Source organism: Homo sapiens, chromosome 20 (assembly GCF_000001405.40).
Source record: "Homo sapiens chromosome 20, GRCh38.p14 Primary Assembly".
NCBI lineage: Eukaryota > Metazoa > Chordata > Mammalia > Primates > Hominidae > Homo > Homo sapiens.
The window spans coordinates 49,358,727-49,384,819 of record NC_000020.11 but is presented as its reverse complement, the minus strand read 5'-3'; the positions used below and the strand labels follow the sequence as shown (position 1 = coordinate 49,384,819).

Here is a 26,093-nt window from a genome sequence, read left to right as displayed (position 1 = left end):
ACAGTGGCCCTCCATCCTCTTTCCATCTTTGTGACTGTTTTCTTCTCATGGCAAAGCCCTCTGCTTTCATCCTTTGTTGTACACGCACAGGATTCCTGTCCCTTTGTGCCCACGAGCGCCCCCTGCAGGCTTCTGACTCCAATGTCTTACCAATCCTCTGCCAGGGACCCCTCCCTGCCTGTAGGGGATGCGGGCAACCCCATCAGCCTGCTCCCAATCCCCTTAATCGGATCTGCACCAGTGACCCTTCTAATTAAAACTCCCCAGCTGTAATCCCCCCTTAAAGCTGGGGGAAGCGGAAGCACCATAAAAGGACCGAAGGTTTGATGGGCCAGCAGCCGCCTCCTCCTACGTCCTTGAAAACGTCTTGGGAGACCCACAGACCTGAGATCAAGTCCATGGGTCTGGAACCACCGCTTACAAGTTGCGAGACTCTGGAAAAGTCACTTCATTCTCTCAGCCTCCATTTTCTTTATTCACTTGTTCATTCATTTGTCAGCTATATAGAAAGCTCCCATCTGTACCAAGCACTGTTTCAGGAGCTGAGGACACAGCACTGGACAAGACCGACCCAGTTCGGGCCCTCATGGAGGTGACACTTTAGTGTGGGACAGAAAGGAGAAAACAGTTTCAGCTCAGCAGCACCAGGGCTGTGATCAGAGATGCGCAGGGGCTGTGTGAGCTCAGAGAACTGATGTACCTAATGCAGACCGGGGGCCCAGAGAGGGCTCGCTGGGGCAAGTGGCCCCAAAGCTGAGGCCTGAATAGGCAGTAGGAACCAGCCAGGAGAAGTGGGTTTGGAGTAGGAGGAAGGGTACTCCAGGCAGAGGGAACAGCAAAGATCTAGAGGTGGAAGCACCCATGGTGGTGAGTTTGGGAACTTTAAGTGGTTTCTGCAGGATTCAGTGTGGGTTACAATGGGAAATAGGGGAAATGGTCAGGAGAGAGAAGAAAAGGGATCTTAATATAAAACCCAGATCTCTTCATCAGGTCTCATCAGGCCCACCCCGCTCTCCCGCTCTCGCTCATGCAGCCCCAGCCATGCTGAGCTTCTTTGGGTTGCTTGATATACCAGGCTTATTCCCACCCAAGGCTTTCATACGTGCCGTGCCTTCTGCCTAGAATGTTCGCATCTTTGAATGACACACACTTCTTATTTTTAAGTCTCAGCAACGAGACACCTCCTAAGAGAGGCCTGCCCTGACCACTCTGCCTCCCGTGGACACCCCTAGTGCTTCTGCATCGATCCCCCTGGTTTGCTTTTCTCAATAACTCACAGCATCTAACACTATCTGACATCACCTTGCCTCTTTCCTGGTTTACGTTTTTGGGTTTTTTTGGTCTGCCTCTCCCTGCTAGCTCCATGAGGCTAGGAAATTTTCTTCCTTATTCATGCAGCACCCTCAGCAACTAGCATAGCACTTAGGAAGTGCTCAATAAGCACATGCCAACTAAAGGCACAGGAACTGGAACTTAACTGGGAGAATGGGGAGTCGCTGCAGGGCTTACAGCAGCTCTGTGGCTTGCTCAGCTTCTTCTCTCCTATGAACTATCCATATGTTGTGGGGATGGAAAGCAATGGGCTGACATGGGCAATGTGGCAAAACCCCATCTCTACAAAAAATACAAAAAGGGAGGTTGAGGCTGCGGTGAGCCAAGATCACATCCCTGCACCCCAGCCTGGGCAACAGAGTGAGATCCTGTCTCAAAAGAAAAAAAAAGGCCCGGTGCGGTGGTTCACACCTGTAATCCCAACACTTTGAGAGGCCAAGGCGGGTGGATGACATGAGGTCAGGGGTTCAAGACCAGTCTGGCTAACATGGTGAAACTCTGTCTCTACTAAAAATATAAAAATTAGCTGGACGTGGTGGCCTGTAATCCCAGCTACTCAGGAGGCTGAGGCACAAGAATCGCTTGAACCCGGGAGGCGGAGGTTGCAGTGAGTCGTGATCGCGATACTGCACTCCAGCCTCGGCTACAGAGCAAGACTCCGTCTCAAAAAAAAAAAAAAAAAAAAAGAAAGAAAGAAAAAAGAAAAGAAAAGCAATAGCAATGGGCTGCCCTTTATGGAAAGCAACTTTTTATATAACTTTATCGAGGCTTACTTTATGTATCATATAATGCACACCCATTTCCAGCATACAATTTGATAATTTTTATTAAATTTTACCAAATCGTGCAGGCTTTGCCCTAAGTCAGTTTTTAGAACACGACGTCCTTTATGATCATTAACTGTTAATCCCTATCCCCCACCCTGGCAACCACTAACCTACTTTCTGTCTCTATAGATTTGCTTTATCTGAACATTTCATATAAATGGAATCATATAATAAGTGGCTTTTTGTGTCTGACTTCTCTCACTTATCATAATGTTTTCATGGTTCGTCTGTGTTGTAGCATATATCAGCACTTCATTCCTTTTTATGGATGAAGAATATTCCATTGTATGGATAGCTGCATTTCGTTTATCCATTCATCAGTTGACGGACATTGGGGTTGTTTCCACTGTGGGGCTATTATGAATACTGCAGCTATAAACCTGCATGTTTACGAAGAGCAATTTGCAAGCCCTAAACACTAGGTGCAGCTTCCAGCTTGCCAAAGCTTCTAGTGTTACTGAACAGTGTTGACAGCAATGGGCTGTGTGACCGTGGGCAAGTCACTTCCGTTCTCTGCTTGAGTTTCCCCATCTTCCCAGCAGGAAGCTTGAGCCCTTTTCTGCATGGACAGTCTGTGCCTCATCCACATTCCTGGAACAGCAGGGAAGTGTGCAGAGGCCACGATAAACAGTCCGTAGGCCTCTCTGTGATTAACCACCAGAGCCGACGATTAGGATGAGGAGGGCCTGGCTCCAGCACTCCTGAATTCCACCCTGGGGATCCCCACCTGCCAATCTCTTCCCCCAGAGGACCAAAGCCCCCTCTCCCATTTGGTGCAGACAGGTAGGCTCCAGGATCCAGAACCTCTTCACAGGGAATTTGGGGACAGCCTCCCAGTCTCTGGAGCTGGCTCCTGCCTCTGCTCCCCGGGTTCCTGGAGTTCTGCCAAGCCCAACTGGGCTCAGATCCCAGAAAAGCAGAGGCCTGTCCAGGCCTGAGCTGGGGCTGGGAGGACTCCCAGGTGGTAGTCAGTTCCCCATTCCTGGGGCTTATCCCAGAAACCAAATCAACACAGTCCATCTGGGTCCACGAGCTGTTTAGAGGACGCACGCTGCCTTAGGCAGTCACTGGGGTCTACACAGCTACTCCTGGCTTCCAAAAGCAACCAGTACAGAGGTTAGGGATGGGGTTGACCATAAATTACCTGAATAATAATTTATTTATTTGAGACAGAGTTTCCCTCTTGTCGCCCAGGCTGGAGTGCAGTGGCTCAATCTTGGCTCACTGCAACCTCCGCCTCCCGGGTTCAAGCGATTCTCCTGCCTCAGCCTCCCAAGTAGCTGGGATTAAAGGCACCCACCACCACACCCGGCTAATTTGTGTATATTTAGTAGAGATGGGTTTCACCATGTTGGCCAGGCTGGTTTCGAACTCCTCAGGTGATCTGCCCACCTCGGCCTCCCAAAGTGCTGGGATTACAGGCGTGAGCCACCACACCCGGCCCTGAATAATAATTTAATAACATTATATATTAAGTGGCTTTTAGGTGAGTACTCAGTTACCTTCATCTTCATTTCAGAGAAAAGGAAATAGAGGCTCAGAGAGGGGGAGTGGCTTGTCCAAAGCCACACAGCTGGGGAATAATAGCCTTGGGACTCAAACTCAAGTCCAAAACCAGCTATAAATAAATGTAAAGAAATGTGGAGAAATAAATACAATTAAAGTTTAAAGTGATTGTGCCACTAGCTAAGGGCATTTTGAGTTCAATGAATTTTCATTGCAGTCTTGCAATGATCCCTGTCTTACATATAGGGAAACTGAGGCACAGAGGGCTTAAATCACGTTGGGAAGTTCCCCAGGCAGGAAGTGTGGCCCTGATTCTAAGGGCCTCACTGAGTCTGGGAAAGAAAAAGTTCTTGCAGGTGGGGTCAGGAGGGGTGGGGCAGGGGAGACCCCCCACACTGCATTACCGCATACGCTGTGTGATGCACATTCACACAGACCGATGGCAGGTGTGCTCTGACCCTCCCAACCCAACCCTGAGCAGCAGGCACTCCCCCACACCCTCCACCTTGGAGTCCAGTGGAGCCCCTCCCCCTGCTTTGCTCGTTTCCTAGGCTTCCTTGGGCTGAGGGAAGGGGAGAGGGAGGGCACAGTCTCAAGTACAAAAGGGGTGCCTGCTTTAGGTCTGTACAATAGCTGGGTGCATAATTCATGCATCTGTCGCCAGAACATCAATTATGTGGGCCTTCCCTGGAGTTGTCTGGGGGTTAGAAACCAAAGCAGGCTTCCCCTGCTAGCCTTTGGGGGAAAATAAGACTGCCCAGCTCTTAAAGGAACAGACTCCCAGGGAACCCATTCCTCCCTGTGCAGGCGCCCTCCTGCCAGAAGTCACCAGACGAGAGCAGCTTCCTGTAGGGCTCAGCCCAAAGCCCACTGGCTGCCCACTCTGACCCACTCTGTGTCCCCAACTCCACAATTGTGAGGGGCTGACTATTGGCATGTCCCAGAGTTTCTCAATCTCAGTACTGATGGCATTTCAGGCTAGATCATTCTTTGCCGTGGGAGCTGTCCTGTGCATTGTAGGGCATTTAGTGACATCCCAGACCTCCACCCCCAAGATGTCAGGAGCACCCCTCCCACCAGTTGTAACGACCAAAAATTTCTGCCAAAATTGCCAAGTGTCCCCCAGGAGTAAAAATCATCCCCTTAAAAACCACTAGTATGTCCTCATTTTACAAATAAGGAAACTGAGGCAGTGAACATTTGGATGCCCAAGGCCATTCCACCAATGAATGGCAAGAGCTAGAATTTCAACTCCAGGACCCACACTCCTCAGCTCAACACAGGAGCACCAAAAAGTGTGCTGCCAAGATGTTATTCCAACAATTACATATTTATTTTGGTGAATATTTAATACATATAGCCCTGGCATGAAAAATCAGCAATTTTGCATATGATTTCTTAGAATAAAGCTAAAATAAAATAAAGAAGGTGAGTGGGCTTTTTTGATTTTTTGTTTTTACCATTAAGGAAAGAGTGATACAAGTAGCAAAATACATACAGTATAACGTCAAAACTGAGCAAAGTCCAGGTGCGGTGGCTCACGCTTGTAATCCTAGCACTTTGGGGGCCCTGGTGGGAGGATTGCTTGAGGCCAGGAGTTCAAGACCAGCCTGGGCAACATAGTGAGACCCCATCTCTACAAAATATAGCCAGGCATGGTAGCATGCACCTGTAGTCCAAGTTACCTCGGAGGCTAAAGCAGGAGGATCGTTTGAACCTAGGTATTCGAGCTGTGATTGCACCACTGCACTCCAGCCTGGGCCACAGAGTGAGACTCTACCTCTTAAAAAAAAAAAAAAAAAAAAAAAAAAAAACGCAACAAAATGACAATTTAGGGACCCATATATTCTTATTGAAAATCATACAGAGAAACAAAGGGACGAAAAACTGCACACAGAGGTTATCTCTGGAGTGGGAAAGACACAAAGGAAGTGTCAGTGTTACTGCTGCCTGCTCTGTCTCTCCATTTGGGTGGCGGGTTCTAGGTGTTCATTTGATTATGGTTCATAAATTATATATAAATTAGGTCTATTTTTGTATATATCAAACATTTTATTTTCTTTATTTTATTTTTCAGACAGAGTTTCACTCTTGTTGCCCAGGCTGGAGTGCAATGGCATGATCTCAGCTCACTGCCACCCCCACCTCCCGGGTTCAAGCAATTTTCCAGCCTCAGCCTCCCGAGTAGTTGGGATTACAGGCGCCTGCCACCACACCTGGCTAATTTTTTTGTATTTTTAGTAGAGACGGGGTTTCACCACATTGGCCAGGCTGGTCTTGCACTCCTGACCTCAGGTGATCCACCTGTCTCAGCCTCCCAAAGTGCTGGGATTACAGGTTTGAGCTACTGCACCCTGCCTCAAACATTTCATTTATAAAGTATTACAGAATCTTCCTTTTTCAATGGGTGCAAATCAAGAAACTCAAACCTATTTTTTTTTAAACATAGGATGTGTCAGACTTAACTATAGCAAAAAAATCAGAAGTTATGGAACCCCTGAGGCTGGGGAGGCACCACACCTTGGAACATTCCCTTTCATCTTCAGAGCTGGCCCATCAGGGCACTGGCACTCTCTTGCCCCCTGTGGCATCCCCAATGTCTGGCCTAGTGCCTCACGCAGAGTAGATGACCAAGAAATATTTCCCAGGCCAGTGCAGTGGCTCACACCTGTAATCCCAGTGCTTTGGGAGGCCAAGGCAGGAGGACAGCTTGAGCCCAGGAGTTCGAGACCAGCCTGGGCAACAAAGTGAGATCCCATCGTTACAAAAAAGGTTAAAAATTAGTTGGGCTTGGTTGTGCTCTCCTGTATTCCTAGCTACTTGGGAGGCTGAGGTGGGAGAATTGCTTGAGCATGGGAGTTTGAGGCTGCAGTAAGCTATGATCACACCCTTGCACTCTAGCTTGGGCAACAGAGAAAGATACTGTCTCTAAAAAAAAAAAAAAAAAAACCTGAATTCTGGTACTGACCCTTCTACTTCTAACTCCATGAACTTGAGCAACGGCCAACAAATACTTGGTGAGCACCTGTCAGGTGTCCCACCCTGGGTTAGGTGCTGGGGGCACATAGATAAACCTCAGAACCCATCCCCATCCTCCCAGTACTCACCAATTCTGGGCAGCAATAAGCACACTCACTCACGTGCACACACACACACGCATGCACACACACACACGCACGCACCTGTGATGGGATATGAGTGGTAAGTATCCCCAAGGTATGGTAAAATGGTGAGGAAACCCAAGGATGGAGCAGTCAACCCTGCCTGGGGAAAGCAGGGAGAACTCCAAAGGGAAGGGGTCACATGGGCTGGATTTGAAAAGATGGATTGGAGTTCACCAGACAGCAAGCAAGAAGCTCGGACATGCAGAATTGACCAATGATAGTGTGCGGCTAGAGGAGTGTGAATTTTGAGAACCGATGGCAGGAGTGGCCAGAGAGAGAGGTCAGAGTCAAAATGAGAAGGACTTGACAACCAAGTGTCCTTACTGGGGATTCATTGCAGGGCCAGAAACCTCCCACACTCACCCATGTAGCAATTGGGTTGACTTACAGGATACAGCAGACAGTCTCAGAACAAGGACAGGAGGCAAAGACCGAGACCGGGCCACCCCGAGGCTGGTGATCTGAGTGGGTGGGGTGATGTGGGCTGAGATTTCCCCTGTGATGACAGCTGGCATCTATTAGACACTCACCGTGTGCTGCTGGAAGCTGTCCTAGCACTTTGCCTGTGCTAACACATTTCATCTTCACAGCAGTTCTCTGAGGTAGATACTGTTATTATCAGCCCATTTGCTAGATGAGGAAACTGGGGCTTAGAGAGGTTAAATAACATGCTCAATGTAAGGAAATGGCAGAGCTGAGGCTTGAACCTCAAACAGGCTGACACCAGAGCCTCAGCTCTTAACTGCTGCCCTCGGCACCCTGCTATGACCCTCCTGCGGTCCCCACTCCTCCTTCATCTGCACCTTCCCTTCATTCTCTGGCTTCTCTTGAAGGTTCAGCTTTCTTTGTCTTTTTCTTTCGTTTGTTTGTTTGTTTGTTTGTTTGTTTTTTGAGATGGAATCTCACTCTGTCGCCCAGGCTGGAGCGCAGTCGTGCAATCTCGGCTCACTGCAACCTCTGCCTGCCGGGTTCAAGCCATTCTCCTGCCTCACCTGCCAAGTAGCTGGGAATACAGGTGCCGCCACTATGCCCGGCTAATTTCGTTTCTTTTTTTTTTTTCCTTTTTCTTTTCTTTTGTTTTCTTTCAAGACAGGGTTTCTCTCTCTGTCACCCAGGCTGGAGTGCAGTGGTGTGGTCATGGCTCACCACAGCCTCAACCTCCTTGGGCTCAAGAGATTCTCCCGCCTCAGCCTTCCAAGTAGCTGGGACTATAGACATGTGCCAATACACCCAGCAGATTTTTTTATTTTTTGTAGAGACGGGGTCTCACTGTGTTGCCCAGGCTGGTCTCGAACTCCTGGGCTCAAGCAATCCCCCCACCTTAGCCTCCCAAAGTGTTGGGATTACAAATGTAAGCCACCATGTCTAGGCTAAGGCTCAGCTTTCTCTGATGTTTTTATGGCATCTCTGTCCCCTACATTTGGGAGACAGTTGCTTGAGGGTTGGGCTTATCATGAAGCTGATTCAAGCCTAGATTCTACTTAACATTTAATTCAGGGACTTACCCTCCCGTAACCCACTCACCGCCTGGGTTCCTGAACTCAAATTTCTCAAAGGTAGGCTGGCTAAGCCCCAGTGTACGGATTGGCTTAACTTGGATTTTTTTATCCAAACTTCATGCTCTGATCATTGGCAGGCAGGATCAAATGATACAACCATGGTGACCAGGCCCCCCCCTTCCCACTTAGCAGGGGCAGAGGAAGAGAAAGGGAAAATCTACAAAAGCAAGACAGGTATAGGGGACCCAATAGACAGGTTTAGGGGTTTGGATTTTTTCATGAGGAGCCCTGGAGATTTATTAAACAAAGGAGTAATGTGATTGGATTTGTATTTTTGAAAAAAAAAAAAAAGACCCTCAGAGCAATTGATTACATCTGTTTGCTTTTCTGCATAGTCTGTAGACTGGCCTACTGGCCTAGATTCCATTAATTTCAACATATATCCATTGAGCCCTTTCTCTGGGCCAAGCTCTCTTCTTGATCCAGGGGACTCAAAGGTAGTTAAGCCAAGGTCTTTAGCCCCCAAAAGCACATAGTTCCAATCAGGAGTTAACATGGGCCCAGAATGTCTGTGCCTCCCTAGGAATTACCTGCAAAATCTTGAGTGTCTAGGCATTTTTCTAGCAAAAGGTTAGCTTTCATCTGATTTTTTTCCCCTTTGTTCTTCTATAGAGACAGAGTCTCACTATGTTGCCCAGGCTAGACTCGAACTCCTGGCCTCAAACGATCCTCCTGCCTAGGTCTCCCAAAGTGCTGGGATTACAGACATGAGGCACCATACCCAGCCAAATCTGATTTTTAACACAGCCTTAAGAGCTCATGTTCTTGGGTCACACAGACCTGGGTTAAAATGCTGGCTCTTCCACTTACTAGCTGTGGAAACCCAAGTGTCCGCATCTGTTCAATGGAGCTAATAGCACTGAACGGGGTTATTATAAGAATGAAATGAGCTATTTCATGGAAAGTGCCTAGCACACAATGAACACTCAATCAAGGATAGTTATTATCATTAGTATCATCTCTGTGAAGGTAGTTCCCCATCCAGTGTGAGCCACTGGTCTAGATCAGAAGTCAGCAAATCATGGTTCACAGGCCAAATTCAGTCCACTGCCTATTTTTGTAAATAAAGTTTTATTGAAACACAGCTATGCCCATTCATGTATGTATTATCCAAGGTTGGTTTTATGCTACAGCTGCAGAGTCGAGTCGTTGTGACAGACAATGCAGGGTTTCAGGGCCTATAAAATGGTTACTATCTGAAAAAGTATGCTTGAACCCTGGGCTTGCTGATAGCTTTAAAACATTTCATTTCTCTGGGCCTTGGTTTCCACATCTAGACAATAAATGGATTACAACAAATTCTCTTTTTGGCTCATTAAATGACTAGTGAAATGTGAAAATGCTCTTGAACATTGAGGAGTGCCCTGTAGATCCAGGATATTATGATGATCATCCTGTGGGGTGGTTGATAACTAAATCCCACTCTCTTCTCCTCACAGATCCTTGCCATAATTTCCATCATGTTCATCGTCCTCTCCACCATTGCCCTGTCCCTCAACACGCTGCCTGAGCTACAGAGCCTCGATGAGTTCGGCCAGTCCACAGACAACCCCCAGCTGGCCCACGTGGAGGCCGTGTGCATCGCATGGTTCACCATGGAGTACCTGCTGAGGTTCCTCTCCTCGCCCAAGAAGTGGAAGTTCTTCAAGGGCCCACTCAATGCCATTGACTTGTTGGCCATTCTGCCATACTATGTCACCATTTTCCTCACCGAATCCAACAAGAGCGTGCTGCAATTCCAGAATGTCCGCCGCGTGGTCCAGATCTTCCGCATCATGCGAATTCTCCGCATCCTTAAGCTTGCACGCCACTCCACTGGCCTCCAGTCTCTGGGCTTCACTTTGCGGAGGAGCTACAATGAGTTGGGCTTGCTCATCCTCTTCCTTGCCATGGGCATTATGATCTTCTCCAGCCTTGTCTTCTTTGCTGAGAAGGATGAGGACGACACCAAGTTCAAAAGCATCCCAGCCTCTTTCTGGTGGGCCACCATCACCATGACTACTGTTGGGTATGGAGACATCTACCCCAAGACTCTCCTGGGGAAAATTGTTGGGGGACTCTGCTGCATTGCAGGAGTCCTGGTGATTGCTCTTCCCATCCCCATCATCGTCAATAACTTCTCTGAGTTCTATAAGGAGCAGAAGAGACAGGAGAAAGCAATCAAACGGCGAGAGGCTCTGGAGAGAGCCAAGAGGAATGGCAGCATCGTATCCATGAACATGAAGGATGCTTTTGCCCGGAGCATTGAGATGATGGACATTGTGGTTGAGAAAAATGGGGAGAATATGGGTAAGAAAGACAAAGTACAAGATAACCACTTGTCTCCTAACAAATGGAAATGGACAAAGAGGACACTGTCTGAAACCAGCTCAAGTAAGTCCTTTGAAACCAAGGAACAGGGATCCCCTGAAAAAGCCAGATCGTCTTCTAGTCCTCAGCACCTGAACGTTCAGCAGTTGGAAGACATGTACAATAAGATGGCCAAGACCCAATCCCAACCCATCCTCAATACCAAGGAGTCAGCAGCACAGAGCAAACCAAAGGAAGAACTTGAAATGGAGAGTATCCCCAGCCCCGTAGCCCCTCTGCCCACTCGCACAGAAGGGGTCATTGACATGCGAAGTATGTCAAGCATTGATAGTTTCATTAGCTGTGCCACAGACTTCCCTGAGGCCACCAGATTCTCCCACAGCCCTTTGACATCACTCCCCAGCAAGACTGGGGGCAGCACAGCCCCAGAAGTGGGCTGGCGGGGAGCTCTGGGTGCCAGTGGTGGTAGGTTTGTGGAGGCCAACCCCAGCCCTGATGCCAGCCAGCACTCTAGTTTCTTCATCGAGAGCCCCAAGAGTTCCATGAAAACTAACAACCCTTTGAAGCTCCGAGCACTTAAAGTCAACTTCATGGAGGGTGACCCCAGTCCACTCCTCCCCGTTCTAGGGATGTACCATGACCCTCTCAGGAACCGGGGGAGTGCTGCGGCTGCTGTCGCTGGACTGGAGTGTGCCACGCTTTTGGACAAGGCTGTGCTGAGCCCAGAGTCCTCCATCTACACCACAGCAAGTGCTAAGACACCCCCCCGGTCTCCTGAGAAACACACAGCAATAGCGTTCAACTTTGAGGCGGGTGTCCACCAGTACATTGACGCAGACACAGATGATGAGGGACAGCTGCTCTACAGTGTGGACTCCAGCCCCCCCAAAAGCCTCCCTGGGAGCACCAGTCCGAAGTTCAGCACGGGGACAAGATCGGAGAAAAACCACTTTGAAAGCTCCCCTTTACCCACCTCCCCTAAGTTCTTAAGGCAGAACTGTATTTACTCCACAGAAGCATTGACTGGAAAAGGCCCCAGTGGTCAGGAAAAGTGCAAACTTGAGAACCACATCTCCCCTGACGTCCGTGTGTTGCCAGGGGGAGGAGCCCATGGAAGCACACGAGATCAGAGCATCTGAACTGCCCTGCCTTGGAGGAGAGACTTTTGGGTGAGGTCCAAAGAGGAGAGCTGTTCAGCTTACCTGCCACAGAGCTTTTCTGCATGAACTCTGGAACAGAAAGGCCCTGTAAAGCCCTCAGAGAGAAGAGAGACTCCAGAGAAGGCTCCCTAAGACCTTGAGAGCCATGACAGGTCCATCAGCATGAAGTTGGCCAAGCCATAGGGCACAGCACCTCCTTGTAACAACTCTATAGCCCTCTTTGGGAGATGACATGAGTGGAACTCACAGCCACCACTACCACCACTTTAGACAGGACCGAGGCCACATACTCCCCATTCTCTCGTGGCTTTCCATCTCAGCCTCGGAGGGCAACATTGACAGTCCTCCTGGCTTCAGCTAGAGAAGGATGCTGGAACAAGCGGCTGGTGTTGAAAGAGTGGGTTGACCAATTTGGTATTGAATGTTGCCCAGCCACCCCTAGGAACACCTGTCCATCACCTCCTGGATGGATTCCACTGTTAGACAGCTACAGGGAATGATTGGTCATGGGGAAGTCTCTGCGCCATAAGCCACGATCCCAGCGCAAAACCCTTACTCAAATGTCTTCATTGACTTCGGTATTTCATAGTACCTGAGATTTTATTTTGAGATACCATCAGGGTGAGTTGCACCACTTGTACTCAATTCTAATTGCCCCCTGGCAATCTGGGAAGGGTTCAGAAGGTGGGCACCCAGCCAACAGCATGAACTCAGAGCATTGTTTTAGGGTTGGAGGAGGAACACGCTTTCTTTACATCACTAGTGTAGACTCAAAAGATATGCAAGTGTCAAATATGCAAAAGAAATAGTTTATTCAAAGAGACTGTGTGTTACTGAAGAACAGCATAAAAATATGATTTTTTTACTTGCAAAAATGAAAGGAAAAAAATACCACGCATTGAAATGCCCAGTTCAGACTGAATAATTCCTGCTGCAGCAAGGAAAGTACCTACTATAATAGAAATTCTGTTTTGTTTTCTGTGGTTTTCAAGTTAAAAAAAAAAAAGTTAAAATAAAAAGCACTTTATGTTTTTCAAAAATAGGTTCTGCCAGGGACAGTGTCAACATCTTGCACTTTAAAATAAGCACTATTTCCCATAGCCCAATTGTTGGGACTGTAGTTGGATTGTTGCTACCTGCCCATTTCTGGCCAGCATGGGTAATATTGTGCTGGTATTACTGTCTGCCATATCAAAGTCTGTGGGCTCCTTCCCTGCCCCTCTGAAACCTTCCCTTAACCCTCATGGGTCAGGAGGGGTTCTTGCCCCTTGGGTGGGGCCTCTCATGAAGTCAAGTATACAGGAGACATGCACATCTCAAAAGGACACAGTGACAGTTGGACATTGGGTGTTTTACTCTGTTCTCTTTCTTGTCAACCAGCTATTGGTTTTTCAGTGTCACTGTCTGTACTAAAAGCTCAACTCTCCTTCCTGCAGCCATCGATGCAGCCAGTACAGACAAAAGCAATAAGTATTTGTGTGCATCCTGAGTGGTTCTGGTGTATTTCTTGGTGTTGGTTTTCCTGTCCTCGTTTGATGACCTGGCATTGTCCTGCCTGCTTTTAGTCCAACAGCATGGTGTTGTTGGCCATTCCTCAGTACAGTGGCATTAGGTTGAACCACTGATGAATACAATGCTATAGTGTTGGCTCACCTGTCAGTAAAGATGACATGTTATTGGTCTGCCTGTCTGTAGTACAATGGAACAATGTTGTTCTCTTAATGTAATGTTGATGGATGATGTCCCAAGTACAATAGTGTAGTTCTGTCTATCCTCAATACAGTAACAGGCATATGTCTTCCCAGTGGAAGAAAGATATGGTATTGGTTCACCTAGTCTTAAGTCTCAATATCATCTGTTGCTGGTCTGCCTGTTAGTACAATGGCATGATCCACCTCTCAGTACACAAATATCATGGAGCTGTTCTGCCTGCTCTTCATACATAAGGCATAAGGTTGAGCCACCTGCCACACATATGATGAGATGGGATCATTCCACCACCCTTAAAAATATGTCTTCTCTGCTGTATACAAACCCAATTCATAACACTTCTCAGCATCTCCAGAGACTGTAGATCCCCCCAAGAGGGTGCAGTCCTGTTCTTTGCCGCATTAACAGAGAAAACGAGAACGTCACTCTTCCTAGGTATCTTCAGAGTATTCGCGCAGCAACTGCAAAGGGACTTAGGGGCAGGGAGAGTGTGAGGTCATCCCGTGCCAGGCAGAGGAAGCAGCACTCCCAAAACACTTTGCTGAACACGCAGTCTGAGCTGGGGGCCTCTTGAGGAATGACTGTGGGACAGTTCTCCGCCGACCATCTCACATGTCTCTTCTTTGTTTTCATCACCATTAATGTCCACCATCAGCACAAATGTGAAAATTCAGGGAAAAAAACAAATGCTTTTTGATAAAAGTAAATAGTTGTGATTTCCAATTCAGATATTTTTAGAGCTGATGCTATCTGTAAAAAATAATAATAATAATAATATAGTCTATTTTACATATCAGGAAAGTGAACATGTTTCAATATAGCCATATATATTGAGAAGGAACTTACCACCCCTTCTTCCAATCGAGGCATTTCATTTGTTGGTTGAAGCAGATGAGAACTGTACAGATTGAAAATGATTTGTTTTTTTTTTTTTTTAAAAAAAACGAAAACCAATTGGTGCAACTCTCCTTGTAACCAAAGGCCCTTTCTGCCTTCTGTGGTCATGTAGGACCTGGCCCTTCCTTCCTTGTGTATTTTGTCCAACCGTAAAGTAGCATTTTATTGAGTCACTTTTGAAGGACGAATTCAGAAGTATCATTAAGAACCTACCTTTTCAGGCTTCATAGCCAGAGTCCTATAGAGTTCTTATAGAAACAGAATAATTGAAATTCAGCATATACTATGCTTAGAAAGTATTTTGTTTGGGTTTGATTGGGTTTTTTTTTCTTTTACTTGTGTGTGTATGTACTGGGGGAGTATAGCTTTTATTCTGTGCTCAATTCGAAAGAGAGTATTATAAGTTTTCCCAGCCCATCCACCCGCTAAAAAAGAACATATCCAAATTTTAATATGTATACACCCAACCTGTACCTATGTACGTGAATATACATGCACTGGGAAATCTACTTAAGAGTCTTCACTGAGAAGTTCACTCGATAGAAAGGTCTTGATAGAGAAGAGAAGAGGAAAGCAATGGTCTGAAGGCAAATCCTGCTTTAACTTGGTGGTCCATTTCCCATTCATTCCTGAACCAATGAGAGCAGAAAGAAACAAGTCAACCCAAACAAGCAAACTAGGGGCTGGACGCGGCGAATGGATGCTGGTCAGTTTGGCAAATTCACTGAAACTCATCAAGAACCCAGCTGAACTTGCATTCCAACTTCCACAATTATCTGAAAGGGCTAGGGACCAGGTAGCCATGTGTCCCAATCACACGGGGGAGAGTCTGCCACCGGCGGTGAGAGAGGTGGGGAAGCTTTGGAGGAGACAGTATATTCACCTTTTTATCTTTGGGTAAAAGAAACCAACAGGACTTTGGTGCAGTAGATTTCTCAGTGCCTTCTTTAGGAATTCTATCTTAAGCACACTTCAAGGGGAAAGAAAAAAGGAGGAGAGAACATTTGTTCCCGTGAAGTCCCTTTCTCCAAAGGACTGGGGATCAAGAAGGAAGAAGAGTAAGAAGGAAAAACAACAAAATCCTGAGGAGGCCATTTCTTTTAACCCACCCAGCTTGCCCCTGAAAACTGCTGGTGATACAAACTTTTTCAAACTGACTTCCAGCTTCTCCATGTGTCTTGGTAACTGTAGCCTCGTCTCTGCCCTTTCTCCTAATAAGATCCATGTTTCTAAGGAGAAAAACAAAACAGTATTCTCTTCTGTAAAACTGTAATGTATTGTTGATATTTGTAACTATTGTATATTTCTGTCTTGCTCCAGTCCCAGCTGGAGTGTCTAGTTCCATGGACAAGGGGATATTTAAAATTCACCACGGACAAGAGCCACTAAAGCCAGGTCTCTATCGCTAATCTCTCTCCTATTCTTATTTCTCTACCAACTAATCTCAAGTAACAATACCCCAGGCTTTTTTTCAGCCTCAATTCAAGTAACTTTGAATCAAAAGAGAGCAAGGCAAAAAGCCTCCGGACATGCTTCTTTGGGAAAGGACTTTTTCTGTAGCTGCAGAGTGGGCAGGAGGGAGAAGGGGCTCCCCTGAGACCCCGGCAGGACAATGGAAAGCTTCCAGCCCCGAGCTGATGTTTCCTCACCTATCACTGCTTATAGGACAGCATCCAAATGCTTTCATGTCACTCAGCCCAGGCAACCCAAACCAGTCCTGGCTACACCCAGAAATAAGAGTTACCTCTGCATTTTCTGTTGCCATTTTTCTGGCTCTAGAAGTATCTGATGCGCGACTATGTCATAGAATGTCCACGCATCTCAGAGTAGTCTATTTTTCTGTTCAGATAAAATATATATATATATGTATTTTTAGCAAATTTATAATAGGGCAATTGAGTCTAATTTCTTCTTTTGTAATACAGAACAATATCTTAGGAGTTTCATTGTTGGTCATTATCGTAGCTGATGTTTTCTGGTCTTTTGCAGTTCCTACCATTGTCCCTTGGGCTGTTTGGGTTTTCTTCCTTTTGATTCTGATTTCTTGAGGGTGGGGAAAGACTTTGGGGTTTGACTTCCTTGTGTAGGCATTTCTTGACACTAGGCCTGGACTCTGTCAATGCTGTGACTTTCCTCATTCATTTCTGTGTGTTTCTCCCATTCGTTGTTCTTAAGAATCCAGGGCATGAATGCAGGAATGAGACCCAGGGAAGCAGAGCTACAGATGGCCCTCAAAATCAGGATGGGATGTGGGCTGGTTTCACTTATATCCCACACCCCTTTAGGGATCTGAAGGGACTGAGTTTTCTCATCCCCAGAGATCTTGGAACCAAAAATCTCATGCAAGCAAACTCATCACTGGCATTTCTGAGATCCAGAACACATGTGAGTCCCTCCTGGCTGGGCTGCTCCCACATGTCCAGCACCCTGTCGGCCTGTAACATCAATCAGAGCTGAAGGTCAGAGGTTTTTCAGGTTCTCGTGAACCTCACAAGAACATGCTGGGCCTCCGATCTCACCAACTTGTTTATCAGTTCCTTGTTTCGATCTGTTTATTTATTTATTTTTTTGTTATTATTATTTTGAGACAAAGTCTTGCTCTGTTGCCCAGGCTGCAGTGCAATGGCGCAATCTCGGCTCACTGCAACCTCCTCCACCCAGGTTCAAGTGATTCTCATGTCTCAGCCTCCTGAGTAACTGGGATTACAAGAGCGCACCATCACGCCCAGCTAATTTTTGTATTTTTAGTAGAGGCAGAGTTTCTCCATGTTGGCCAGGCTGGTCTTGAACTCCTGACCTCAGGTGATCTGCCTGCCTCGGCCTCCCAGTGCTAGGATTACAGGTGTGAGCCACCACTGCACCCAGTCCATTTCAATCCATTTCTAACAGCTTCACCAAAAAACAGTGGCCAGACACCCTTGCAGCCAAACCCTGAGAAGAGATGTCCCCGAATCTGCTAGCTCATCTCCCCTTCCCTTGCCAGCTGCCTGGCTCCATAGAGCAGGAGGTGTGTGGCAAGGACAGGGGCAGTTTTCCAGCTTCCACCTATCCACGCCTGGGGGAGTTTTTGGACTGTCCTGATAATTAATTCCAGAGGCAGTTTTCAGTCCTGGGTGGGCGGAGGACATCTCACTAGGCAGGATCTTCAGCAGAAAGTGATTCTCCATCCGTCAACTCATGCAGGAAGATGAAGAAAGCCCAGATAATCTCCAACTTGCATTCGTTTAGGTTTTGGTATACCACCCACCTCACTGTCAGCTGCAGGGCTTGGGGCTCTGCCTAGAATCAGAAATTTGAGCCAAACTGGGACCCTCAGATGGCAGTGAGCCATCCCATCAGATAACTCCCAAGAGGAAGCCAACTCAAATATGAATTTTATTATTCTGGACTATGACCCTGATCAGAGTTCTCCCACCCCGAAAACCTCTGATAGTCTGGTTTGAACCAGAGTCAAATAAAACAGACAAGATTTTTTTTTCCTCTGCACAAAAGCAAAAAAACAAAACAAAAAAAAGTCTGCCAGTAGTTTCCTGGGTTTGATGCCCAGATAAGCAAACACTGTTGCCTATGGCTGTTGCTGTTTTCATCAAGAAAGAGGTTATATAGTTTGCATTTCCATCCACTCTCCCTGATTTTATCTTAACCTAGAATTTCTCCTGAACTACCCCAAATGCCAACTTGAATTTGGGTAGGGCTCTGTTAATCGAGGGAACCCTCATCTTCACTTATAAACCTAATTCTCTGTTCCTCCCTCCAAAGATCCTGAAAAGATCTCCTAAAGGCTGGCCAGGATGGGGTGGAGTGGGGCAGTGCACCTGAAGAAAAAAACTTAGCTGCCAGCTGGCTGTATGCAAGTTCTCCGAAAATTTCTATTGTATGAAAGGGATGGGGTCAATTGCAGCTCAAATTAAGGAAGCCCTCCTAACAGGCTGGGTTGTCTGACCATGGAGCTCAATGCCATGGTGGACAGTGAGCTCCCTTATATCACAGGTGTTTAAAGAGAGGCTGGCTAGATGGTGTAAAAAATGGGCATTGCAGAGGGGCCCTAGCATTGCATGGAAACTGGGCTGAACAACCACAGAAATTCCTCTTTGTTTCTTGGAGTGTGTGTGTGTGTGTGTGTGTGTGTGTGTGTGTGTGTGTGTGTAGGTGGTTTCAACACTCTGGATATAAGCTCAAGCCACTGAGGCAAAGGCATGCAGCACAATTAGCAGGAATGCAACTTCTGGGCTTTGGAGCTCTCAGAGGGGGTGTCCAAGAGACAAGTCTGCTTCCTTCCGGCTCCGTCTTGGAACATTTTAATGACTGTCAGTCACCAATCCAACCCATCCCCAGTGGCCTACCAGGCACCACATTGGGATGAGACTCATGCTACCCTTCCCCAGGCCAGCCAAGGAGCAATCCACGCTGTCCCCCATCCCTGGCTGGCTGTCTTATGGTGCTTCAGCCCCTCCGCCCAGCTCCTGTGCCCTCATGAGCCTGGGGCTTTCTGTATAAAAGATGCAATGATATCTGTTCCCCACTAGCCATCCCCACAATGAACAACTTCCCAGGCAATAGCAAATGGCTCCATTCCAAAAGGGCTTGTTTTTTTGGTAAATCAAATAAGAGACCCCACTCAAGACCTTTGAAAGTCCCCGTCAATGAAAAAAATCCAGAAGGGTCAAAAGAGAAAGGCAGCTTTTAATCCAGTTTCACAGCAAAACCAGGCTCTTGGCTGCCTCCAAGCAGAATGCCACTCTCCTGCAGCTGTGGCCTCCATCCCAAATCATCCTGCATACTGCATTCTCTAAGGAAAGCATTTGACAAGAGAGGGTTTATGTATGGTGGATTGGGAGAAAGTGAGACTTCAACCTCAGGGTGAACCGAAGACTGGTTTGTCTTTGGTTGTTTTAGTATGAGGTTGGGCAGGATGATATGTTTGGATGGGTAGAATGAGCAGCCGCCTTCCTCTGAAACCAAAATAAAATAAAAACCAGTTTTCAAGATTCCTCCCAACTCCTCACTGGAGGCTCTGCCCTGCAGAATCACTCAAGTTGCAACAACACAAGGAGACAAAAATAGGATATTTCATGAAAATATAAGAAACTCCCAATTCCGTCCCATTAGGATGCCCTCAAGGGGCCATGCAGGGATCTTCCCATACTTCCTGCTTCCCTGATCTGAACCAAGATTGGAAAGAGGCAGGCAGCAGAGAAGATGCCCAAGAAACTCTGACATATCCACAGCTTGGCTCTGCCCCTTGGGCTTCACTGGGGTTTGGGCCTCCCTCTTGGTTGAGCTGAGTGTGCCTGAGTGGGTGGGGACAGGGAGGATTCTCCAGGTCTATCTTGATTTCATAGGTCCTTCTCAATCCAAGGTCAAAAACTGAGAATCTTATTTTCTGCACCAGGAACTCAGGGTTATCCCCAACCTATGCCGCTGGCACATGATGGTCATCCAACCTGTGTTTTTGTGAGTGAGTGAATGTGTGACTGGTTGGCCTCTGAGTGGATGACTGGATGCGTGAATGTGTGAGTGAATGGGGGAGTTAATGAATCCCTACCTAACTGTGAAGAGAAGAAAAATGAGGAGCCCCTCTCCCACTGAAACCCATAACTGCCCCATCAAGGTCATCTTTCTTTGACTCAAGATGACATCTCAATTTGATGCTTGTAGGCCCCAAGCTGATAAGGGCCACAGCCCTCTCAGAGCCACACTTCCTGGGGGCCCACAGAGCAGCTCTGCCCTCCTTCCTCTTCCCCTACCCTGCATTTCTCAGCCTCATGTTCTATTTTAGCTCACACACGACCCATGGGGGGGACCACCAAGTGGTTTTCCAATGGACTAAGCCAAGGGTTCGAAGTTGGGACTTCCTTTGGTCTGGGACTTCCTGGGGCAGAAACATAGGAGCCAACATCTGGAAACTGGATTGCATTCCCTGAGCCATGGGAGTCCAGCTGGATATTAAGGCCAGCCTGCCCTCCAGCTTTTAGAGCCGAAGATCTTTTTTTCTGAGCCCCAAAGCCGTCATGATAGTATGCCCCCAGATCCCATCAGCTAAGACCCTGTCTCTCCCAGGAACCCGTCGTGTGAGGTTGGGGCTTTTCTGCCAGTAAAGCCATTCTGATCACCTCACCCTTGACAGGGGCCAAGCCAATCACATTAGCCATAAATGACCAATGTCCTCAGCCACTCTTTTCTCGGGGGTGCATTCGTGGGTCCTATTCATCTCTCGTCAGTTAATGTCTCTAGTCCTTCCTGTAAAGGTGAAAATAAGCATTGCGCATGTGCGCAACACACACGCACACACACACACACACACACACACACAAATCCCAGTGTCTTTTTATGCATGTGGTGAGATGAAATTGTGATCTTTGTGTGACCTCCAGCTGCTGTCTTGTCTTGTAAAATATGTCCAAATGTTTAAGAATTTCTAAGCAAATGGTCCCTTAATGAAGTCTGCAGAGTTCAATAAAAGGTATGGAAAAAACAAGCCTGGAGGAGTTTATTTTTTGGAGGGCACAGGGAGGCGAGATGGGAAGCGCTGTAAGGGGACTTGAATCAGGAATCCTGTCTCCAGGCGGCATCAGCTTTCTCTCTTCCCCCCAGAAGAGGGAGGACATGAAAATATAACTGGCTTTTCACCCCCACTATGCAACCCAGTGGTAACCCATCCTACATGATATTCATGAATCAAAGTTCCAACTCTGGTCATTTAGTTCTCATGTCAACTATGCCTGGGCATCTCATTAAAAACTGTCTCACAATAGAAGGCATAAGCTCAAATGACTACTGGGGCAGAGCAGGTAACATAAATGAGTAAAGCAACTTAACTAAGAGACTTAAGGGGGTGGTGGTGAGTGTGATAAAAAACAGAACACACACCCTGTCTAAAGGGGTGAACACCATTCATCTCCAGCTGGTTGTTACCCCATAGGGATGTGGGCCCAGCAATATTAGATCTTTCTAAGAGAAGTCAGAAATCTGGATTTTTAAAGGAAATACCCAACTTTTAAATGTTAGCAACTATGGCTGGGCATGTGGCTCACAACTGAAATCCCAGGACTTTGGGAGGCCAAGGCGGAGTTCGAGACCAACCTGGCCAGCATGATGAAATCCTGTCTCTGCTAAAAGATAAAATAAATAAAAAATAAAAATAAATAAACATTAGTGATTAATTCCATTTTTTGTAGTCCTGTACTGGCCAAAGGAAATATATCTGTAGGCAGACCAGAGCCCATAGGCTACCTTTCTGTGATCTCTGCCTTACTGATAGGGCTCAAAGATTTCTATATTTGTTTTTGGGAGGTTTTTTGTTGTTGTTTTTGAAACATAGTCTCACTCTGTTGCCCAGGATGGAGTGCAGTGGCACAATCTCTGCTCGCTGCAGCCTCCACCTGCCGAGTTCAAGCAATTCTCGTGACTCAGCCTCCAGAGTAGCTAGGATTACAGGCATGTGCCACCACACCTGGCTAATTTTTTGTATTTTTTAATAGAGACAGGGTTTTGCCATGTTGGCCAGGCTGGTCTTGAACTCCTGGCCTCAAGTGATACACCCACCTCAGCCTCTCAAAGTACAGAGATTACAGGCATGAGCCACTGTGCCCAGCCTTCTGTATTTATCTACTGCTGTGTAACAAATTACCCCCCAAACTCTAGCAAGTTGAACCATTTATTATCTCATGGTTTTTGTGGGTCAGGAATTCAGGAGCATCTTTAGCTGAGTGGTTCTGGCTAGGGGTCTCTCACAAGGTTGCAATCAAGACACCAGCTGCAGTCCTCTGCTTGACTGGGATGGAAGACCTGCCTCTAAGTTGGCTGAGGAGGCCTCAGTTCCTTACTGGCTGTTGGCAGGAGGCCTCAGTTGCTCACCATGTGGACTTCTCCATAGGGCTCTTGAATATCCTCACAGCATGGAAGCTGGCATCCCCCAGGGGCAGTGGTCCAAGAGAGAGGGGTAAGGAGAAAGGCACAATGCGTCTTGTGGCCTAGTCTCAGAAATCAGAAACCATCACTCGCACCAAATTCTATTTGTTAGCAGTGAGTCACCAAATCTGGTTCACACTTAGAGAGAGGTAATTCTACCTCTTGGGGAAAAAGGATCAAATATTTTGTGGACATATTTTAAAATCATTACCTTTCAAAAGCCCATTGAGTGAAAAGGGTAGTTTCCAGACTTTAGGATTTCATAGCCCAGTAAAAAAAAAAAATTTATTCTTATTTGTCTAGAGATGTGGTCTCACTCTGACACCCAGGCTGGGGAACAGTGGTGCAGTCTTAGCTCACTGCAGCCTCGAAATCCTGGACACAAGCCACCCTTTTGCCTCAGCCTTCCAAGTAGCTGGGACTACAAGTACCTACCACCATGCCCGGATAATTTTTTATTCAGCTTAGAGAAGTGTATAAGGCTTGCTGACATTTTATTTTGCCAAGTAAAGATGTGGAAAAAATGACTATCATGTACTATATATTATCTTAGTAAAACAAAGGATATATCAAACCCATAAAATATACAACCTCAGAATAAAGACCATCCTGAAAAAAAAAAAACTTCTATTCTTTCTTTCTTTCTCTCTTTCTCTCTCTCTCTCTTTCTCTCTCTCTCTCTCTTGCTCTCTCTCTCTCTTTCTTTCTTTCTTCTTTCTTTCTTGAGACTGAGTTTTGCTCTGTCGCCCAGGCTGGAGTGCAGTGGCACGGTCTCGGCTCACTGCAATCTCTGTCTCCCAGGTTCAAGCAATTCTCCTGCCTCCTGTAGCTGGGATTACAAGCACCCGCCACCACACCTGGCTAATTTTTGTATTTTTGGTAGAGAGGGGGTTTCACCATGTTGGCCAGGCTGGTCTCAAACTCCCGGCCTCAGGTGATCCACCCGCCTTGCTCTCCCAAAGTGCTGGGATTACAGGCATGAGCCAACACACCCAGCCTTATTATGTTTTTTAATAGATCAAACCTTCTCAAATTCAGCACTACTGACATTTAGGGCCAGCTCTTGCTCTGTTGTGGGGTCTGCCCTGGGCACTGCAGGGTGTTTAGCAACATCTCTGACCTCTACTCACCAGATGCCAGTAATACCTCCCCCCAGTTGCAACAACCAAAAATGTCTCCAGAAATTGCTAGATGTCCCCTGGGGGACATCACCTCCAGTTGAGAAGAGGCACAAAATCTCAAATCCAAAAGATGCAATGAAAAGTGAAATTTCCCTTATACCCCTGGACCCCTGTCCCCCTGTCCCTAGAGGCCGCCAGTTTCTCACGTATCCTTCCAGAGATCATTTTTGCAAACACACACACACACACACACACACACACACACACACACACATACATATAACCGATGTGTAGCGTGCGTGTGTTGTTTTGTTTTGCTTTGATTTTACCCCATACAAATAGTAAGAGTGCCATATACACTGCTCTGCATCTTGCTTTTTTCATTTAATGTATCTTGGAAATCATTCTGTATTAATACACGAAGAGCCTCCTCATTCTTTCATAAGCCTATGTTGTGTTCTATTATACATGGTAATTGCCAGTCTCCTACTCCTGAACGTTCAAGTTGCTTTCAACTTTTGCTATAACAAACAGTGCTGAAATGAATGGCTTGTCAGCCGTTCCTCTGGGCTCTGCCTTCAAAATAGATCTGGGATCTGCATTTCTTGCTCCTCCACTGCTGCAGCTTGGGGCCAGGCCACCATTGTTTATTGCCTTCATATTGTACCACGTCCAGACCAGCTTCCCTATTTCTGCCCTTGATCTTTCAGGTTCTTCTCAACATAATGGCCAGAGGGGTCCTGTCAAGCTGTCAGTCTGATCATGTCACTTTGCCATCAAAACCTTCCAAAGGCTTTCTGTTACGTGTTAAATAAAGTCCAAAGTCCCTGGCTTGGTCTGCAAATACTTACATCCACTGGCTCCTGCATGCTTCTCTATTTCATCTCCCACAGCTCTCACCCAAGGGTGCCTGCTCTAACATCCCGGTCTCCCCACTCTTTCTCAGACACACCCACAGTGGACCCACCTAATGAAGTAGCCACATTCTGATCCCCTTCCAGTCCCCTCTGCCCTCTTTAATCTGTGTACAGAGCATTGAGATGACTGGCCCAAGATCACCCAGCTAGGAAGGGGCAAAATTGAATTTTTTTTTTTTTTTTTTTTTGAGACAGAGTCCCGCTCTGTTGCCCAAGCTGGAGTGCAGTGGTGTGATCTCGGCTCACTGCAATCTCCGCCTCCCGGATTCAAGCAATTCTCCTGCCTCAGTAGCTGGGATTACAGGCATGCGCCATCATGCCCAGCTAATTTTTGTACTTTTAGTAGAGATGGGATTTCGCCATGTTGGCCAGGCTAATCTCAAACTCCTGACCTCAAGTGATCTGCCCACCTTGGCCTCCCAAAGTGCTGGGATTACAGGCGTGAGCCACTGCACCCAGCCAAAACTGGGGTTTTAACTCAAACCTATCTGATTTTACCAGTTTACTGCCTCTACCAAAAAGATCAAGCATGATAATTCATGAGGCTGGCTGTGCAGGGTTTAAGAAAGATGGGGCTGGAACTCAATTGCCTGAGTTCAAAATCCTAACTGCTCCACTTACTGGCTATTGGCACCGAGGGGGTCTTTAGCATCCTTGCTTCAATGTCCCCATCTGCAAAATGAGACTAATTCACTTTAGCAACCGTTAGGTTTTAAGCCCCTCAGGACCAGTAACAGGATAAGGAGATCCAGGCAGTAATGTACACATGCAGGAGGTTGGATCCTATCTTTACTTGAAATGTTGATATTTTGTTTATGGGTTTGGGGCATTATTTTTTATTTTTTTAAATATTACAGACAGGGTACAGTGGCTCATGCCTATAATCCCAACACTTTGGAGGCCAAAGCAAGGGGATCACTTGAGCCCAGGAGTTGCCAAGACCAGCCTGGGCAACGTGGTGAAATCCCATCTCTATAAGAAATACAAAAATTAGGCTGGGCGCAGTGTCTCACGCCTGTAATTCCAGCACTTTGGGAGGCCGAGGTGGGCAGATCACGAGGTCAAGAGATTGCGGCCATCCTGACCAACATGGTGAAACCCCATCTCTACTAAAAACACAAAAATTAGCTGGACGTAGTGGTGCACGCCTGTAGTCCCAGCTACTCGGGAGGCTGAGGCAGGAGAATCGCTTGAACCCAGGAGGCAGAGGTTGCAGTGAGCTGAGATCGCGCCACTGTACTCCAGCCTGGTGAAAGAGTGAGACTGTTGTCTCAAAAAAAAAAATTAGCCAGGTGTGGTGGCGTGTGCCTGTAGTCTCAGCTACTTGGGAGGCTGAGGCAAGAGGATCTTTTGAGCCTAGGAGTTCAAGGCTGCAGTGAGCCATGATCACACCACTGCACTTCAGCATGGGTGACAGATCGAGACCCTGTCCCAGAAAAAAAAAGGCAGTAAAATGTTCCTTATTTCGATTTCTGAGGTTGTGGGTGTGTGTGTGAACATGATATGTGACATGGCATGATTCCTGAGTTTTTGGTACCCCCTTAAGTCTTGCATATTTTGATATTTTGGAGATGAAGCACTCAGCAAAGCAAATTCCTGCCTTCAAGAGACACACATCCCAGTGGGGGAGGCTGCCAATAAACAGATAAAAATATATGACACTTCTGGTGCTAAGAAGA

General features: G+C 46.9%; 1 protein-coding gene and 1 long non-coding RNA gene across 3 annotated transcripts in view, besides 2 other annotated features; one reads left to right on the top strand and one right to left on the bottom strand.

Moving 5' to 3' along the window:
- Positions 1–20,943, top strand: part of KCNB1 (potassium voltage-gated channel subfamily B member 1) — a 119,486-nt gene extending 98,543 nt beyond the window's left edge. For both annotated transcript variants that reach the window (XM_011528799.3, NM_004975.4), the window contains one exon: positions 9,828–20,943. In XM_011528799.3, the coding sequence (XP_011527101.1) occupies positions 9,828–11,837 (2,010 nt within the window). In that variant the 3' untranslated portion in view covers positions 11,838–20,943. The remainder of the gene's footprint in view (positions 1–9,827) is intronic.
- The window catches only part of LOC105372649 (uncharacterized), a 108,687-nt gene that overhangs the window by 54,201 nt on the left and 28,393 nt on the right, over positions 1–26,093 (bottom strand). The window lies entirely within an intron of this gene.
- Positions 10,882–11,144: a silencer, noted in NCBI's record as "fragment chr20:47990213-47990475 (GRCh37/hg19 assembly coordinates)". NCBI's record gives its function as "represses an EF-1alpha promoter that drives an FKBP-Casp9 reporter gene in an ReSE screen in K562 erythroleukemia cells {active_cell/tissue: K562}" and the evidence as "EXISTENCE:reporter gene assay evidence [ECO:0000049][PMID:32094911]".
- Positions 15,646–16,199: an enhancer, noted in NCBI's record as "NANOG hESC enhancer chr20:47985158-47985711 (GRCh37/hg19 assembly coordinates)". NCBI's record gives its function as "activates a minimal SCP1, AML or CMV promoter by ChIP-STARR-seq in naive H9 embryonic stem cells {active_cell/tissue: H9 hESC(naive)}" and the evidence as "EXISTENCE:reporter gene assay evidence [ECO:0000049][PMID:30033119]".